The sequence below is a fragment of the Homo sapiens genome, chromosome 3 (genome assembly GCF_000001405.40).
Source record: "Homo sapiens chromosome 3, GRCh38.p14 Primary Assembly".
Lineage (NCBI taxonomy): Eukaryota > Metazoa > Chordata > Mammalia > Primates > Hominidae > Homo > Homo sapiens.
The window spans coordinates 321,968-341,385 of record NC_000003.12 but is presented as its reverse complement, the minus strand read 5'-3'; the positions used below and the strand labels follow the sequence as shown (position 1 = coordinate 341,385).

At 33.8% G+C, this 19,418-nt stretch overlaps 1 protein-coding gene across 18 annotated transcripts in view; it reads right to left on the bottom strand.

Moving 5' to 3' along the window:
- The window catches only part of CHL1 (cell adhesion molecule L1 like), a 212,655-nt gene that overhangs the window by 68,032 nt on the left and 125,205 nt on the right, over window positions 1-19,418 (bottom strand). For all 18 annotated transcript variants that reach the window (XM_017005566.2, NM_006614.4, XM_017005572.2 and 15 more), the window contains 3 exons: window positions 15,322-15,427; window positions 13,032-13,219; window positions 470-592 (listed from right to left, as the gene is read on the bottom strand). In XM_017005566.2, the coding sequence (XP_016861055.1) occupies window positions 470-592; window positions 13,032-13,219; window positions 15,322-15,427 (417 nt within the window). The remainder of the gene's footprint in view (window positions 1-469; window positions 593-13,031; window positions 13,220-15,321; window positions 15,428-19,418) is intronic.

Sequence of the window (19,418 nt, the reverse complement as noted above, 5' to 3'; positions counted from 1 at the left end):
TTCTGAGTGCTGTGCAAATAGCATTTTTCTCTATGGTTCACAATGAGAAAACATGTAGAGATCACTGCTAAGGCATATGCTAGAAGTAGACTTTACAAAGCTAGATTTTCAGATCAGAGTCAGCAAACCTTTTAGAAAATTAAGCAAAAAAGTTAATACTAATTTCCTGGTAGGTGACTGCAATTAGCAGGTAGAGCATTACTAAAATAGAAAGATGAAGCTAGCAACACAAACCCATGCCATCCTCAGCTTTCACATGATCTATATTCCAAAGGTAAGTGCACTGTTTGAAATATAGGAAGTATTGTCTTCACAGACAAATCTTATCATATTAGTAGCATCTCCTCTTCAAATATGAAAAAATTAAGAGATCTTTATTTTTTATTTTGTCTTTGGATTCATTATGTTATTGATATGATGGATAGAATTAAAATGTCCCCCTTTTTTGATGGAACGGAGCATTACTTACCAATATTCATCCAATAAATGTGTAAAGGTGGGAGGCCTTTGGGAGGATTGCATGGGAGGACAATTGGATCTCCCTCCTCCACTTCAAGAGGGTCAATTTTTTCTTTTGGGAATTTTGGAACACCTGGTGTAAAAAATCATTTTAATGTGTTATTTTAAAATTAACTTTGACTATAACAACAAATATCTTAATATGTTCTTTTTTTTCAAAATTCAGCAATTTAAATAAATTCTATGCTACAGATCCTGGTTCTTACATCTCCCCTTCAGAGTTAAATACTATTAAGAAACTGGTGTGCATCTTTACACAACTTTAAAAATATTTCTGCATTTTGAAACCCCAGACAATAATGTTTTTGTTATGCGACAACAATAAGGCAATAACATACTTGTGCATATTTCTCTGAGCAGAGATATAAACCCAGAGTCACAGGATTTTCTTGCTTTAGCTTTGATAGATGTGAAATCTTTTTCTCCAAACACTGATTTCACTTTGGGCGGTTGCATATTCTCTATCTCTCGCTTTATTGGGAAGGCCTTGAATGTGATTGGCAAATATTCCAGCCAGTGCATTAACCACACTAAATAAAAACTTCCCAGCCCATATGGAGAAAATGGTAAGAATGCAATGGAAAGCCAAATTTGACCACTTTAAGTTGCAAAAAGAGCCAGCCACATTGAAATTACTCCCATTAAATAAAAATTTAAATGAAATGGAATTGATGTAGGAAATGAGACTTGTCAATATTTCAACCTATTGTTTCCTCCCCACACTGGAGTCAATTTCTTAAAAGAGCAATGCAGTTATAATCAGAATATAAGTCAGAATTGTGCAGAATTTGAAATCTAACACCAAAGTTTAATATTTTTATGGAAGTATTGATATTTATAAGGATATTCAAAATGTATTCTTCCTGAGCATTACATTGATATCTTTCAACTTTTGGTGGGGGAATTTGCATTATAGAATTACACAGTCTCTTGTGGAGGAGAAGGATCTTAGGAAGGCAGTTATAACAGTCCCAACTTGATGGAATTCATTAGAAGGTATTTATTTGTATGTTTCATTCTTAAATTATGATTCACAACCGATTTTCATTGTTCTTGGAAATATAAAGGTTTACTCATTTACTGTAAAATTTCTTCTTGAGAAGCTTTGTGCACTTCCTATATATTTGTCCTATAGCCCCTCAACCCCCATCCATGCCTTTAGAGGTTGAGGGAATTTGCTGACATTTCTCTTATCGATGCACCAGCTGGTTACAGTGAATTGCTTTTTGTCTAAATTCAAGGACCTTCCAAGGCTTAACATTGCAGGGGGCGGTGTGGCTATTACACTGCCTTTGCAATTTCGGAAGGCAGACTTTGGTTCTCTTTATACATTCAGCCATGTGACAGTCCTTTAGTGGGTTTCCTCTTGCTCAACTCGTTCTATAAGATTCCTTTTAGAAAGTCTCTGGAAACATTTTTGAAATAGCAACCATCTTTGAATCACATTTTTGCTATAGGTAGCATGAAATTTCCCTCAAAAGTCGGGAAAGTATGTTTAGTATATTCACTACATTAAGAGCTTGTAGATAAAACATCATGCCAGCTATTTGGTAAAGCCTCGGCTTTGATTGACATCAAATGCTATGGAAAACATTTTGCAGAAAGTACACCTTATAGACATAAGGCATAGTAATATACAAAACGTTTATGTACCCAAATCTCCAAATTGAACCACTTATTTAGTTTTATTCGCTGTAACTTAAGCCCAGTAAACACTGGCATTGAAGTCAGTGGTGCTGTTGGGTAGTTGGTGAATCTATCTATACTCAGATACAAGAGGCAGCAGAGGAAATAAAATATGGATTAGAAAATGGAAAGGGCATGTAATCCACTTCGATAACAAGCAAACTATACAGTCCCTAATATGAATACACAGTTCACTGGATAATATCTATTGTAAAGTAGTTAATTAATAAGATGTATAAATCCCTAATTGGAGAGCTGCTCCCTGAGAGCGTTAAAAAAAACCTAGCAATTCGAACAGATAGTACTGCCACTGAAGCATTATCATCCTTGCATTAATTAAATCTAGATTATACAATTCTAATTCTGAAAATGTAAATTTGTAATTCAACTGGCTTCTAAGGCACCAACAATAAAAAAGAAAAGAAAATTTATAACTCTACCAAAACTGCTATCGCGTGCCATAAATCTTCAGAACAGCTTTTAACTAAATACAAAATGAATATTGGAAAACAGGGACGCATACTTATACATCAATAAATTTAAGGTTTTAGAAGATATATAAATGGCATTAATTTTTCAGGAATTTTTTATGTCTTATCCTTTGACTCTGAAACTATTTAGTGAGTTTGATGGCACGATAAAAAGTGAAAATTTTAACACTCACAGATAAATGTGAACTTTAATTACTATAACACAGCAGCTAACATGAAGTCTACCTCAATTCAGATAAAGAAATGACTCCATTTAAAAATAAATCCAACCAGTGGCATTTACTGTGTTTATCTGGTGACAAACATTAGCATTGCTGAGTTTGGACAACAGTAATATTTTTAAAAGTAAATTAAAAAAATATTTTTTTCGGTAAATGAGGTAATTACACTCCTTTATCTTGCCAATATATTTCACATGGGTACTTCATCAACACCAAAACCAAAAATCACTTAACTTTGTTTCAACAAGACTGGACTTGATCCTGAATGGCCTCTCTGCAAAGGGATCAGAATCAACTTGCACATAACAGTCTAGCTAAGCAGAATTTCAAGAATGTTTGCACTTTGGGAGGCCGAGGTGGGCGGATCACAAGGTCAGGAGATCGAGACCATCCTGGCTAACATGGTGAAACCCCGTCTCTACTAAAAATGCCAAAAAAAGGTGCTGGAGAGGATGTGGAGAAATAGGAACACTTTCAAACTGTTGGTGGGACTGTAAACTGGTTCAACCATTGTGGAAGACAGTGTTATTCCTCAGGGATCTAGAACTAGAAATACCATTTGACCCAGCCATCCCATTACTGGGTATATACCCAAAGGATTATAAATCATGCTGCTATGAAGACACATGCACACATATGTTTATTGTGTCACTATTCACAATAGTAAAGACCTGCAACCAACCCAAATGTCCTGGAACCAACAATGATAGACTGGATTAAGAAAATGTGGCACATATACACCATGGAATACTATGAAGCCATAAAAATGATGAGTTCATGTCCTTTGTAGGGACATGGTTGAAGCTGAAAACCATCATTATCAGCAAATTATCGCAAGGACAAAAAACCAAACATTGCATGTTCTCACTCATAAGTGGGAATTGAACAATGAGAACACTTGGACATAGGAAGGGGGACATCACACACCGGGGCCTGTTGTGGGGTGGGGGGAGAGGGGAGGGATAGCATTGGGAGACATACCTAATGTAAATGATGAGTTAATGGGTGCAGCACACCAGCATGGCACACGTATACATATGTAACTAACCTGCACATTGTGCACATGTACCCTAGAACTTAAAGTATAATTTAAAAAATATATATAAAAAAATTAGCCGGGCGTGGTGGCGGGCGCCTGTGGTCCCAGCTACTCGGGAGGCTGAGGCAGGAGAATGGCGGGAACCCGGGAGGCGGAGCTTGCAGTGAGCAGAGATTGTGCCACTGCCCTCCAGCCTGGGCGACAGAGCAAGACCCCGTCTCAAAAAAAAAAAAAAAAACAAAAACAAAAGAATGTTTGGAAATCCCATTATAACCAAGTCTAGATGAGATCAATTTCCTTTCTATCTAATGCCACTATTAATCCATTTGCATCAGCAAAGCAAGCATATCACAGCATCTATCTTTTCACTCTTCTCCATTAGGCTTTCACATTTATTATTCAGTGTCATAGACAGATTTCTAGCAACAACTAACACCAAGGGTATAAGTGACATTCAAATATATTCACATCTAGGTTTTTGAAAACTTCCCCAGTTGAAATCCATCATGGAAACACTTCCCTACAGACAAGCTAGCTGCACAGGAGTCTTATTACCACAACTATCAAGGCACAACCAACCTGCAGATACAAAATTTGCAGGAGCTCTATGACTTCAGATGCTGTCAATGAGTTTTGAAAACTCATCATCCCAATTATTTCAACATAATATACAGAAAAATAGCATCTTCATTCCTGAAATAAAGAAGACTTCTGAAAACAGAATTTATATCTATAGGATATCCTACAGCATAAACTAGGTTCTAGCCCAGGCACTAGAAAACTAACTGGTTACAAAGATTCAGACCAATATCTTTACCTTTTTCTGTATCTCATTTTGTTTTCCTTTGGTGTCTTAGAATCCTTTGAATTCATCTCTCTAGGCTCCTCAAACACCTCACCAGGGTAGAAGCTTCTTAAGGGTAGAGATATAATAAAACCTAAGCTGTGTAATCCCATCATGCCAACATGTTTAATAGTGAAGAGTAGTAGTGAAATGCCATCAGGGAAATTTAACTAAATACAATTCATGCTAACTAACCACTGTGATGAAAAAAACAAAAACCAAAAAACACTGGCATCTTAACCGCTACCATGTTATGCAACACTACAGATTCTCCGGCACTCTAGGAACAAAATAGAAGGTTTCCTTATATTTTCCTATTTCTAGATGATACTGTAATCTAGTATCAAGGTATTTTCAACAAAGAAGTACAATGCCTTTTTGCTCATCTGTAGCATGTGTTACCTGAGTCTCAAAGTACAGACAACACTGTAGCATCAGATTATCCATAAACACTGAAGTCAGCTGCTTGGGCCTGCGTCCTGGCTTCTCTTCCTATGCGATCTTTGAATCTGCTACTTAATATGTTTCAGTGTCGTCATTCATAAGTGGGAAATGTAATAACACCTAACTCATTTGATTTATGTTGAAATTTAAATATTTCACATGAATCGATTAAAATAGGAGCAAGCACTTAAAAATTATTCAATACATCTTGGCTACTCCTCAAATATTTTCACTTTGCATGGTACAGCCAAACGCACAGAGACAAGGTAGGCCAAAGGGACAGGGAGTTTTCTTCTGCTGCTGCTCCTGATTTTCTCCATAGCCTGCATCTCAACAACTTCTGTGACTTTGTGCAATTATTTGAATTAACATTTTCAGAGGAGGTAGAAGGACAGAAGGAAGAAAATCCTGTTCATTTGTTCATTTCATGTAGAACATATGATGTGTTTATTGAATTATTTTCCCTTTTTCCATCATTGGACGAATCTTCCTATACCAAAAAGCTTTATCTATTTTGACTTGGCACTCCGTTTACAGGACTGGCCTGGTGAGCTTTCCAGGGCCGTACATTTCACTTAAATATGCTTGGCGAATTGCTCACAGTCTGCCATCATTGTCACAACTGCATGCTACTGAGTGCACATACTTTATCACCTCTAACTCCGGTTTCCTTTGGTAAAGAGATTTAATTGATTCCCATTTCCTGCAGAACATCCCATTAATCCACTTAGGACTACAGAGAAATAACACTGGCTTTCAGTCCATGAGCTCATAATGAATTCATGCTAAGGAAGGACACCCAGTTCAGCCCATTTCATTACAGGCATTCACATACTTTGGTGAATCAGAGTAAAATCCTCGAACTTAATTAAAGCTTTAGAATTCAAAGTTGCACCCTTAATTGAACAAATTGATCTGTTTTTGTTGATTTGCACTTAGGAGAATTTAGCACAGGCTACAACATCCAGGTTTCCTACACTCCCCCTCCAAAATCAGGGTGGTAAAAAGCCAGGGTTTATCTTAAGGAAATTGTCCTGAGGAATCTGAGGAAGTATGTTAACACAAATGTAGAAACCTAGTGCATGAATATTTCTAATTAGTTTTCATTAAATTATTATATAGAAAATTTCATCTTTGTCAGACATTTCGTAGACTATTTTAATAGCATGTGCAAATTGCAGTGTTACTTTTATTCATTCTTTTATTTTTCAGCCTATCAACCAATAAATCAATGAAATAAATATAATACACATTCTTGTGACATCTACAAGGCAATGCAGAACGGGAAGGATATGACAGTCTGTCTGATATTTTTTCTCATTCTTAAGGATCCTAATTAATACATATGACAATTGATAGACTGTCCCTAACAGTACACAACTAAATGCTTTAATAACCCCAGAGAATTTGCAGTATCACTATTTATAATAGCCAAAAGTGGAAATAATTCAAATGTTCATCAACTGGTGGATGGATTAACAGGAAATGATATCCATGCAGTGAAATACTCTTCAGCAATATAGAGAAATAAACTACTGATATATGCTACTACATGGATGAACCTCCAAAACATGCTAAGTGAAAGAAGACATATGAAAAAGACCATATACATGATTCCAATTATATGAAATGTCCAGAAAAGTACATTTAAGGAGGCAGAAAATTAATTGGTGGTTGCCTAAGGCCTGGAGATGGGAACAGAGAGTGACTGCAAATGGGCACAAGAAATCTTTTTGTGGTGATGGAAATGTTTTAATACTACATTATAATGATACTTCACTAAAAAAATTACTAAAAAAGTCATTGGTGGGGCATAGTGTCATGTGCCAATAATCCCAGCTATTCAGGAAGCTGAAGCAGGAGGATCACCTGAGCCCAGGAGTTTAAGACCAGTGTGGGCAACATAGCAAAACCCCATCTCTAAGATAAATAAATAAATAATGTATAAAAACTAGTAATTATACACTTAAAACAAGTAAAATTTATGATATGTAAATTATACTTCAAAAAAGATGTTTATAGGTGGGCATGGTGGTACATGCCTGTAGTCCCAGCTACTGGGTAGGTTTAGGTGGAAGGATTGCTAGAGCCCAGGAGGATGAGGCTGCAGTGAGCCATGTTTGTACCACTGCACTCTAGCCTGGGCAACAGAGCAAGATCCTGTCTCAAAACAAAAACAAACAAACAAACAAACAAGTTGTTTAAAAACTCAGAAAAAGGAAAAAAATTATCTAGGCTGGAATAGGCCAGGAATGCTAAGTGGAGAAATCTAATCTGTGCACTGAAGTGTGAGTAGTATTCAACAGTCAAATTAGGATTATTTATATTATCATTTTAACCTTACTGATAGTTGGATAATGAAGGCAAGAGAGTAGCTCCCTTCCTTTCCAGACCCAATCACCATATACATGCACAGGATGTATATTTCTGGAGGACAGTCTTTGTTTTTATTCACTGTTAAATCCCAAATTACTAGAAAGTGGCTGGTGTATTATGGGAGTTTCAGGAAGATTGTTGAATAACTCACTGACAAAATCCCTGTGCCATGTCTTGGATAATACATTTAGTTAAATAGTTTTTCGTGTATATAAAAATGGTACATTCTGTTTGTTTGGTTCTTGTTGTTGTTGTTTCTTTCACTCTTTCCCTAGGAAACTTAACTGCAATGTTGTTGAAAATAGAAAACTGGACATTGTATACAAAGGTTTCTGTTTGTTAACAGGAGATTGAGAAGTAGAAACTGTAACATTTGAATCACAAAGTTTCTATCAATCTTTGAGAAGAACCAATTCTCTACAGTTTAAGAGAAGAATCGATTAAAGATTGTAGGAAGCTTTAAATTGTCTCTGATTTATAAACTCCTAAGTATTGGGTTGGGTTACTATTCAATATATAGATGGTTGCAGAAAGCTGTCAGATGATGAAGTAATTTCAGGAGAGGCTGGAAATGATGCATAAGAAACCTAATTTATTTTGCTCTTTTCTGCAGCAGCAGCAAAAAAAAAAAATAAAAAAAATAGAGCAATTATCCAACAACGTAGCTCAGATCCAACTCCCAGCTCTTAATACAATACTCTCATATCATATTCTGGTCAGAATTATCCTTATATTGTTCATGTCTTCACTTGGTCTGCCTAGATAATGACAGAAAAAAAAACTGAAATCCTTTAATTGCAGAATCTTAAACCAAATTCTGCCGCTCCTTTCTTTGCAATAGATCTAGCTGCTGCCTTTTCCTTTGTGTCTCCATAGCAACCCCTAGAATTTAGGTTAGGAATCATCCTCATGACTTGCCTCCTACAAAAGATATTTTATCTGTCCTTTTCTCTGGTCTTAACTTATTTCAGTGAAGTATATAAATGTAATATACAGTTTAACGATGATCAACCACAATTTTCATAGCAATACTTTCTAATCCAGAATTCATGGACATTTCCTACTGAAAGTCAATTCAAATCCAAACTCCTGAGAACAATTTTCAGGTTGACATGTCACTGGTCTGATTCTAAAATATCTCAGTAACTCAGAAATGTCCACTTGAGACAAACGGGATGCTTCACACTTACTCATTTTAAGAATATAAAACAATTGTTTATAGAATAAATGTAAAAAAAACACAAAGAAAGAAAGAAACACAATGGAAATCCATTCACTTACTACCCATTTTACAAAATAGGAATATCGTCATCACCTTTTTGTCAGGTGCTGATCTCAACCCCCACTTCCATTTTCCAATTTTTACTTCCATTACAGGTAATTACTGCCATGAATATTGTTTTTATCATTCTCTTATTTTTCATTATAATTTAACAATAAAATTATACCAATCAAAATTGTAGTCAGTTTTACATATTTCAAACTTTCTCCAAGATTTACTTTTATTGCTCAACATATTCTTGACGTTTTATTTACTATTGAATAGTATTTTTGGTATGAATAGAGCACAATGCATTGATCCATTCTACTTTGAGTGGACTGCTGTATTTTTTCCAGCATATTTTTAAATATAAACAATGTGACCACAAATCTTCCTGGTATGTATGGACAAGAGGCACATGCACATGAGCTAGGGAACGGAATTGTTTGGTCATAAGTAAGAGCATCTTCAACGAAGGAGGGGATTAGAAAATGTTTTCCAAAGATCACGCAGTAAACTGGACTGTCATCAGTAGTGGATACGTATTCTGTTGGATGTATATTGCAATCTAAAATTTTTACTTTTGGATTTTCTGATATTTCCCAATTGGGTAGGATCAAATGCTTTTATCACTAGGGTTACAATAGGTCTGTTTCTGGTAACTAAAGAGGTTGAACACATTTTCACATTTTTATTGGCCCTCCAGTCTGAGGTTCAAGTTTATATATGTTGCCACTTTGTCATTTTTCCTTTTTTATAAAGATTTGTAAAATTATTTATGAATACATACCATTTTTAGTTATATGCATTATCAATAATTTTTATCTGAGTTGTGGCTTATTTTTGTTTGTACTTTCTTCCTAGAGTCTTTCAATAAAAAAAGGATCTAAAATCAAATGTAGGAGAATGTATTCTTGATGATTTCCTTCATGAGGCTTTAATATGACTAAAGAAATCATCCCACACTGGGCATGGTGGCTCATGCCTGTAATCCCAGCACTTTGGGACACTGAGGCAGGAAGATTGCTCGAGGCTGGGAGGTCAAGACCACCCGGGGCAACATAGTGAGACCCCATCTCTACAAAAATAAAAATAAAAATAAAAATTGGCCAGGCACGGTAGCACTCGCCTGTAGTCCTAGTTACTCAGAAGGCTGAGATGGGAGGATCACTTGAACCCAGGAGTTCAAGACTGCAGTGAGCCATGAAGCCATGACTGCACCACTGCACTCCAGCCTGACCTGGAGAGAGTGAGTTCCTGTCAAAAACAAACAAACAAACAAACAAACAAACAAAAAAGCCAGAAAGGAAGAAAAGAAAGGAAAAGAAATCTTTCTCTGTATTAATGACCCTGGTGATAAACGTATTGTTCAAATAGTCTCACTTTTTAAAACATTTTTTCCTTTCACTGTTCAGCCTTTTATCCACTCTGAGATGATTTTTATATGATATGAGGTGGAAGTCCATATAAATGTTTCTCTGTGTGAATTATCAATTGTTCCACAATGTTTAGTTCAAAGTAAAGAGAGTGGGGGAGAGAGAGAGAGAGAGATCCATGCTAACATGCCAATTCCCTCAACTATTTTTACACATGTGATGGTCTGTTTCTGGGTTTACTATGCTATTCTGATTTGTGTAACCCTGCACAGAACCATAATGGCTTAATTCCTGAATTAAGCTGAATCTTGATTTCTGAAAACAAGAATCCCCTATGACTTGTTATTCTTTAATAATTTCTACTGAAGTTTGCCCTTTGTTCCTCAAAGATATTTTTGAACCAGCTGGTCACATTTCACAAACAGAAACAAAAACTAAACTATAGGCGTTCTGATTTCAATTCTTCTATATATCAACCCATTGAGAATGAGCATTTTAAGTGTATAGATTCTTCCAATAAATAGAAATAGTTTACTTATTTTCTATTTGTCTAGATTTTTTCTTTTTTTAATAAATATGGATACTTTCACTACAAAGATTACATACCACATTGTTGAATTTATTTTCTGCTTTTATACTATTTTCTCCCTTCACTCCAGTTTATTCTGTTGCCTTAAATTAGCTCATTCATTTTTATCCTAAAATTATGTTACCTAATAAGCTAAGATCATTAATTTTCATCCTTTATGTTTTTCTAATATGTCTTTAAAATGATAAAGATCCCTCTAAATAATGCTTTCACTGCATTCAACATGTTTTGTTATGTAGAGTTTTCACTGTCATCACTTCAAAATATATTCTATTTTCCTTACCATTTGGTACTTGACCTAAGACTCACTTAGAAATGTATTTCTTAGTTTTCAAAGATATAAGTTTTTTAAGTTTTCTATTTATTATTGATTTCTAACTTAATTACATTTTGATATTTTCCTCATAGCCCAATATATCATCAAATATAACCTTTTACCCCATGTGTATGAAAAAACTCATTTTGCCGTGTTAGTTACAATATTCTATGTGTTTTCATTAGATGGAGCTTGTGATTGTATTCTTTAAATCTTCTATATGCTCACTGATGTTTTTCTCTGCTTGAGTGAGCAAATAATGAAAAAGATATGTTAATATCTCATTATTATGGTGAATTTGTCTATTTCTCTTTGTAGTTCTATTTTTGCTTCAGGTATTTTAACATTATATATGTCTAGTAAATTAATTTCCATGAAGGCTTTTACAAATAAAGTCTGTTATGACTGACATTAATATGGTCATACCTACCTTCATTTGGAAAGCATTTGTCTGGGATATCTTTTCTGTCTTTTTCATTTCAACAATTCTGTATCCTTAAGGTTTAGATAGATGTGTTGTAAAAAGTTTATAGCTTTTTTTTAACTCAGAGCATTTATTCTATTTACTTTTGTCTTTCATTTGTGATATATTTGAATTTATTTCTATCTCTTTTTCTTTCTGCTTGTCTTACTTTTTTTCTCTCCTTTATTTTTTCTTCCCTGCATCAACCACATTGTGTGATAATACTATTTTCTTATAATTTTAGTGTACATACTTATAAATTTTAAGATGCACACCTTACTTCCGAGTCTAAATTTGACCTATATTCCTTCCTCTAGAATTATATAAGGACTTTAGGACAATTTAAATACAATGCCCTCTCTGAACTTTTGGGTTAAAGATTCATCATTTGTTTTTCTGAAGTTTGTGGCCATTCTGCACCCCCAGAATCAAGTGTTCATATTTTGCAAGTCCTAGGACTTTCTTTGAAATACTTTCATATCTAGGACTCTAAAAGAAGAAATTACCGAATAGAAGCTGGCTGACAGTTTTATACTTACCAATTTACTCTATAAAGGCTTTGGCTAAAATTGTGTAATGGTGGATATATTAAGAACAGGGGGAAAACGTGATAAAATATAAAAGGTGGTCATGGATATCCCATGCACATAGGGCAAATAAGCTATGAATAAAGTACGCTACTTCAGGGGACGATTACTGATAAATACACCTCTAACAACAAAGTGTCTTGCAGTTTTACACAAATTTTATTTACGGTTAACATTACCAATAGCTGTTTCTCCTTTCCTAATGAGCATCATACTATTGATGTTAGATGGGACTATGCAACTTGCTTTGCCCCACCTAACAAAACATGAGTAGGAGTTGCCTGCATAACTTCTTGTCAGAAGCATTTAAGAGCCAGTGTACAATTTTTCATGTTTCGTCCCAGACTCTTTGACCAAAATGGCATGTTTCACAAGAGGCAACCACAGAATGACGATGTCTCCATTAGCTGTGATCAGCAAGAAGGCTGCATGAAAGAGTTGCCAGGCCCACAGTAAATTGCTTTATCGGGGAATAACTTTATGTTTACATAGAGGTTTTGGGGTTATCTATTACTGCATAGAATTTAGCCAAGTTTAACTAATAATATGTTTAATTCTCATCTTATAAGGCAAAGCAGATATTATATTTTTCCATGTTAGATATAAGGTTACTGAAACAGAGTCAAATTATGTTGTTTTCTAAGGTCATCCGATTTTAAGTATCAAGACCTGGAGGAAATTTTTCCTTATAAATAAAATACAAGACACATATAAGTTGATTTAGTTAATAACTGCTTTATTTCATTGGAACCCAATCTAACTCCTATTTAACACTTCACTAAAACACTTGTAAAATGAAATTCCCGTTATAGTACTTACTTGGAACTATAAATTCTATTTCTTCTGACATAGCGATTCCCAGTTTATTTGAAGCAAAGCAGCGGTATTTCCCTTGAAAGTGAGATATGTGCCCCTCGTTTGGGATCCTGAATGTTCCTGAATTGTTCGATGGAATTATCCGATGGTCAGTGAAATAAAAAGGGTTGCCATCCTTAGTCCACGAAAATCTAAAACATAAAACTGAACTTAATAATCCTGAAAAATAATGACATATGTTTAGAGTACTTATTAACAATTGCATAAAATTGACAAAACCAAGACATTTTATGATAAAAAGTATATACTTAATGGAATATAACAGGATATAAATAAGGGTCTCAGAAGAATCTGAGAAATATTACTGTCCATAAAACAGCTTGATAAATGAGAGGATTAAGATTGAAATTAGCTTTTGCTTTTTTAAATTAAAATTATTTATTTATTTTTAATTAGAAAGGTAATACAAGATTATTATTAATATTCTGGAGACTACAAGAAACATATATAATTTCTGTTCATGTATTTGTGTGTGTAAGGAACTCACTCAAAATCCCAAAACAGATAAGCCCAGTATTATTACACTTGCTAATATTTCCTATTAGTATTTTTAGAATTTTGTCACATATTTGAGACCACACTGAATATATAATTTGGCCAACTGAATTTTTCCATTATTATAATGATACTAAAGACAATTTTTATAGCTACATTATCTTCTGTCATATGGTTACTAATTTAATTACTTTTAACCATTTCAATGTTTTTCCTTTTATGAACAATATTGTGAGAAACAACCCTATATATTTATTCTTTGGTACTTGTCCAAATATTTCAATATGCCAGTTCCTTAGAAATAAGATTAATAAACCAATAATTAAAAACTTTTTATAGTATTTGATAAATGTTGCAAAATTATATTCTAGAAAAAAAATGTACACAGTTAAATTCCCACCCCAGTATGCTAGAGTGTCAGTTCTATGAACAATGACATTAAGAAGTCTCTTTAAATCTTTATCAGTCTGATAGACAAACAATGACTTCCCAATTAGATTGTATTCAGCATTGTATATTGGAATTACCCATGCAAATTTGGGTATATTTCAGGACGCCATATTCTTACACTAATCTATGTGATTATTCTTCCAACAGGAATAACAAACCTTCAATGGACATGTATTCTCATTAGGAGTAGGCCTACCCAGCCACCCTCCTGACTTATTTTACTTCTCTCTGTGTGTCTTATATTTCACTGTTGACAAGTGTATGGTATTACCTTTTGACATAATAATTCAGCTAATTAATATTAATATATCATGATATTGATCAATATATCCATATTGATTGAATAAATTATCCTTAATTCCATTGTAATTCTATCCATACTTACATATTTTGATTGAATATATTCCATTTGGTTAAACATAGAAATAATTATAATTTAGCATGTTAATGGGTCACTAATGATTATTAAATATCAACCCATCAGGCAATAATAATAGTCATGATACAATTGAAAATCATCAATTTTCATTAAATATGGATATTCTTAATGAATATAAGATAATCATGCAGAATAATAAAAGTATGTAGCTTTGCTTTCCATTTTAGAATCACGTAGAGTTTTAATATTGGGAATTCTTCCCACAGCCTCTCCCTTCTCACTTCCAATACATCCACATTTTTTTCTTCCTCCCCAAACATAGAAGGTATTTTGAAAAAGCTCATCAGTGATTATGGTCACCTAGAATAACAATTATTTAATTCTAAAATAAAATAATACTAGATAGTAGTATATCATGCAATAGTACTCTGCCACCTGAGATGACAATATTTCTATGACAACTTAAAAAAAATCAAGTAACAACCTATCCACAAAATAAGATGTTTAAATTTAAAGACGCACAATTATAAATATGTATAGAATGGTATTTACAAACTTTGACTTAATAAATGCTACATTTTACTAAGTAGAATAAAGGATCTTCTAGTTTTCAGCTACCTTATTTATTTGTAGACTAAGGGATTGTGGAGTATTTCTGCTGTACCAAAGACTACTCTAAGTATTTTAATAACAGCCCTTAGTTTATGGTCAAAATAAATTCAAGTGGCAGAAAAACATATGTGAAATAACCAAATTTTTTTTTTGTTTGCATGGATATGATTTTTTGTAAACCCTTAGCTTTAATCATGCGTGGATTCATAGTCCAACAGGCTTGTGATGGTAAGAGTAAAGAGCAGCATAAAGAACAGCACGCATTTAAAGAACCACTTCGTTTGAAACAATACTCACGTTGGTTCTGGATTTCCTTTAGCTTCACATTCAATTTGAAAATACTCATCGAAGGGAAAGGCAACTTGGACTTTTGACTGTTTTATGATTGTTGGAACCTGTTGAACTAAATATTAAAATATGTACTTAAAAACACACTATTCAAACAGCAGGCAAGGTTAATCTATAGCGAAAACACTTTAAACCTCTTTTGTATACTGATAAGTGAAAGGATGATACAAAAGTGAAAATCAGAATAAATCTCACTCTCTCTTTGCAACATGTACTTACTTCTAAGGAATACACTTCACTGCCATCATTTCATGTTTTAATATATGTTCATTTTATTTAAACCCAGAATAATTTAATGATTTTTATAGCAGAAGAAAAGTTGCTATGTCATCACAATTTAAAAATATATATTATTAAAATTATTGGCATTCAATCTATGTTAGCATGCATATGCATTTTTACTTAGTTCAGTCACTTTGAAAGTTCTGTTTGTAATCTTCCGTGTTTCTATAAACACATTATAATTAATGTACTGCTTTTACATTATTTCTTCCCACTGATATGCTATAATTTTTAATAATTCTATTACTGGTCATTAGATTATTATCCATTTTTTTTCTTTCCAGGTAAACTATTTCAATAGGAATTTTGAGTAAATAGATTTTTCCTTTTTTGAATTACTGATTTATGATAAATTTCCAGGCATGGACACAAGTGGTAATTACTCTGGGTAAATTGTAAATATCATTTCACCACAGAATATATACACAAATAACAAAAATAGAGTGGTTCTCTATATTTTTGCCACCAGTGAATGCTAACATTTCAAAATAATAAAATAGTTTAGCATTTATTACAAAGGAAAATATAAACTCCTTATTCCCTTTATTTTAATTTTCTTTTTTTTTTTGGGTAATAAATGTTCTTTCATGGGCTTGTTTAGTGTTTGTTATTCCTCATTTATGTTTTCATTTTATAACCTTTTCTCACTTATCTATTGGAAGTTTTGTTCTGTTTCCTTAGAGAATTTAACTTACTAATAACCATTATTATATAATAATAACTGATGCATAATGGCATTAATAGATTCTTCATATTCAAATATCCCCTCCTCTTGTGACAAACTCTGTTAGTGTTTGATAAGTAATCTACAAGACAAACACAATTTTAAAAAGTAGGGAGTGGGCCACACTTGGTGCCTCACACCTGTAATCCCAACACTTTGGGTGGCTGAGGTGGGAAGGTCACTTAAGCCCAGGAGTTCAAGAACAACCTGGGTAACATAGGGAGACTCTTATCCCTACAAAAAAATGTAAAAATTAACTGGATTAATTTTGAGACCAGGAGGTTGAAGCTGTTGTGAGGTGTGATCAAGCCACTGCGCTTGAGCCTGGGTGACAGAGTGAGACTCTTTCATAAAAGTAAAAATAAATAAATAAATAAATAAATAAATAAATAAATAAATAAAGTAGGAAGTGATTTTGCCTCTCACCTAGTAGAGCAGCGAGATTACATTTCTGAGAATTACAACTATAAAATAAATTTACTAATGCTGGAAATACAACTTGGATTAAGCTTTGAAATAAAACATAGATCATGAAGTGTGTAAAGATCTACTGCTGATGAGCACTCAATATTTTTCAAAAGGAGACATCCCAGTTTTAGTACAGTTCTTAGAATCTCTAATAAAAAGACAGGGTTGATTCACAAGGAAATGAAAACTGTTTCGCAGCAGGGACCTGACTTTGGCAAATAAAGTATGAGAAAAGCAATTTGGAGACAGGCACAGAGCCTAACTTAAATAAGTACTATTCCACAGTAGAGTTGCAAATGAGGCCCTAAAACCTGTGACATTGGACCAGGCCCTGAACCACTCTCTGTTTTCTCATTTGTAATATTAAGGATTTAGCCTAGATAAATTGTTCTCAACGTGTTGGTCTCAGGACTCTTTTGCAGTCTTACAAATTACAAGACATCTCAAAGAGCATTTGTTCATGTGGGGTATAGCTAACAATATTTACTATAACAGGAATAAAAACTGAAAAAGTCTTTCAAAATGTCTTTCAAAATGTTTACTTATGAATTTATTTAAAATAATTCAATGTTAAAGTAAATCACATATTTTATGAAAACCTTTAAATATTATGAGAAGAAGGGCATTACTTTACATGATTGCAAATCTCTGTAATTGCTTTTTTCTTAATTCTTTGAGTCAGGGTCTTGCTCACTCATGCAGGCTGCAGTGCAGTGGCAGGATCATTGCTCACTGCAGCCTAGAAATCCCAAGCTCAAGTAATCCTCCCGCCTCAGCCTTTCGAGTGGCTAGAACTAAAGGCCATCTCTGCAATTTCTTGAGAAGGCAGATGGATTCTTTTATCTGCTTCTGCATTTCATCTGTTGAAATAGGGTTGATTTGTTCAAAGATATAAAGAAAATCCAGCCGTACACAGATAACGTAGTTAAAAAATGATGGGAAATTTTAGAGTCCTTTCTGATGATTGTAGATACAAGTGTAGTTTTTTAAACATTCATTGAAATGTGAAATCTAAACCCTATCAATCAACTTTTCATACTGTGTACCATTAAACCATTTTACTTTTTTTAATCTACAAATGATTTTGTAACATCATGGAGCTTTCATTTGGAAAAAATACCCGCTCACTGAATTTTGTGTCTTCCAAACATTGATGCATTTCATTATAGAATATCAAAAATTGACACTTGTTAGAATTGCCACTGATCTAATCAGCAGTATTAAGTATCGGGAAGCTCTCAAGCTTACAGTGGACAATACATGTCCTCCACAATTCTAATGTTTTCTTGAACACTCACATTTAATCAATGACCTTATATATGGTCAGTTGTTTATCTTGAAATGAATGGGCTCACTTGGTTCACTTTCAGGAAAATATCTGACCTATATCTATCTGAACAACCATAATTTGTCAGTCATAACTTTAAAGTAAAGATGATGTCCAGCTCAGGACTCAAGCAATGATGCAATTAAGAAATAGAGATTGTCATAATACTTTGACGCATAGCAGAATTATTTTATATCTACTTCCCAGTTCACTAGAATGTTAGAAAGTATGTATTCCAAGGTAGATAATTAATAACATTAATAATTTTTAAGTGCTTCAACAATTATAATCATAAGCAAAACTGTTTTTGTTTTGCTTTGTTTTGAGAGTTTTTTACTCTGAGTATATGGACATTAAATATCACCTGACTACCAGTAAATTTGATGCCAGTGCCAGGCTGGAATGTAGTGGCATGATCATGGCTCACTGCAGCCTCAACCTCCTGGGCTCAAATGATCCTACTGCCTCAGCCTCCCAAGTAGCTAGGACTACAGGTATAAGCCACCACACCCAGCTATTCGTTTTATATATATATATATAATTATATATATATATATATATATATATTTTATATATATATATAATTTAGAGATGAGGTCTCATTACATTTGCCAGGCTGGTCTTGAACTCCTGACCTCAAGCCTCCCAAAGTGCCGCAATTACAGGCATGAGACACCACGCCCAGCCCTCATTACTTTTGTATCATCAGAGCAAATGACAACGCAGTGAAAATGAAAAAATGGCGTCTTAGGTTTATGATAAAAACAGTTTAATCTCACAGACCATCTGGATGTGTCCCTGGGACCCCAAGAATTCTGGAAACCACATTTTGAGCATTGACAGCCAGAGTAGAATAAAAACTAAATGCCTTTCCAAACTCTAATTTTTTTCTATTAATTCTATTTTTTTAATTTTTCATTATTGCCCGATAAATCTGATAAGTGAGTTTTACCAGGTTATGGATATTAGCTCAAGTTCAGTGTTTATCTACTGGATATTCATAAACCAACATGCAAAATGTCTGTATTTTCATTCACATTTACTTTGTTTCTGACTACTACTATTTCTGTGTAGAGCAGGACTTGAGCTTATTGCAAATTCATATTATTTAAATTTTATTGCAGTTATAAACGGTGAGGGATGATACACAGTGGCCACAGTCCCTTAGATATCAGCTAATAACTTGTGAACAACTTGTTTATTAGAACATTATTCTTTCCTAAATTTGCTAAGGTTGTAAAGGCT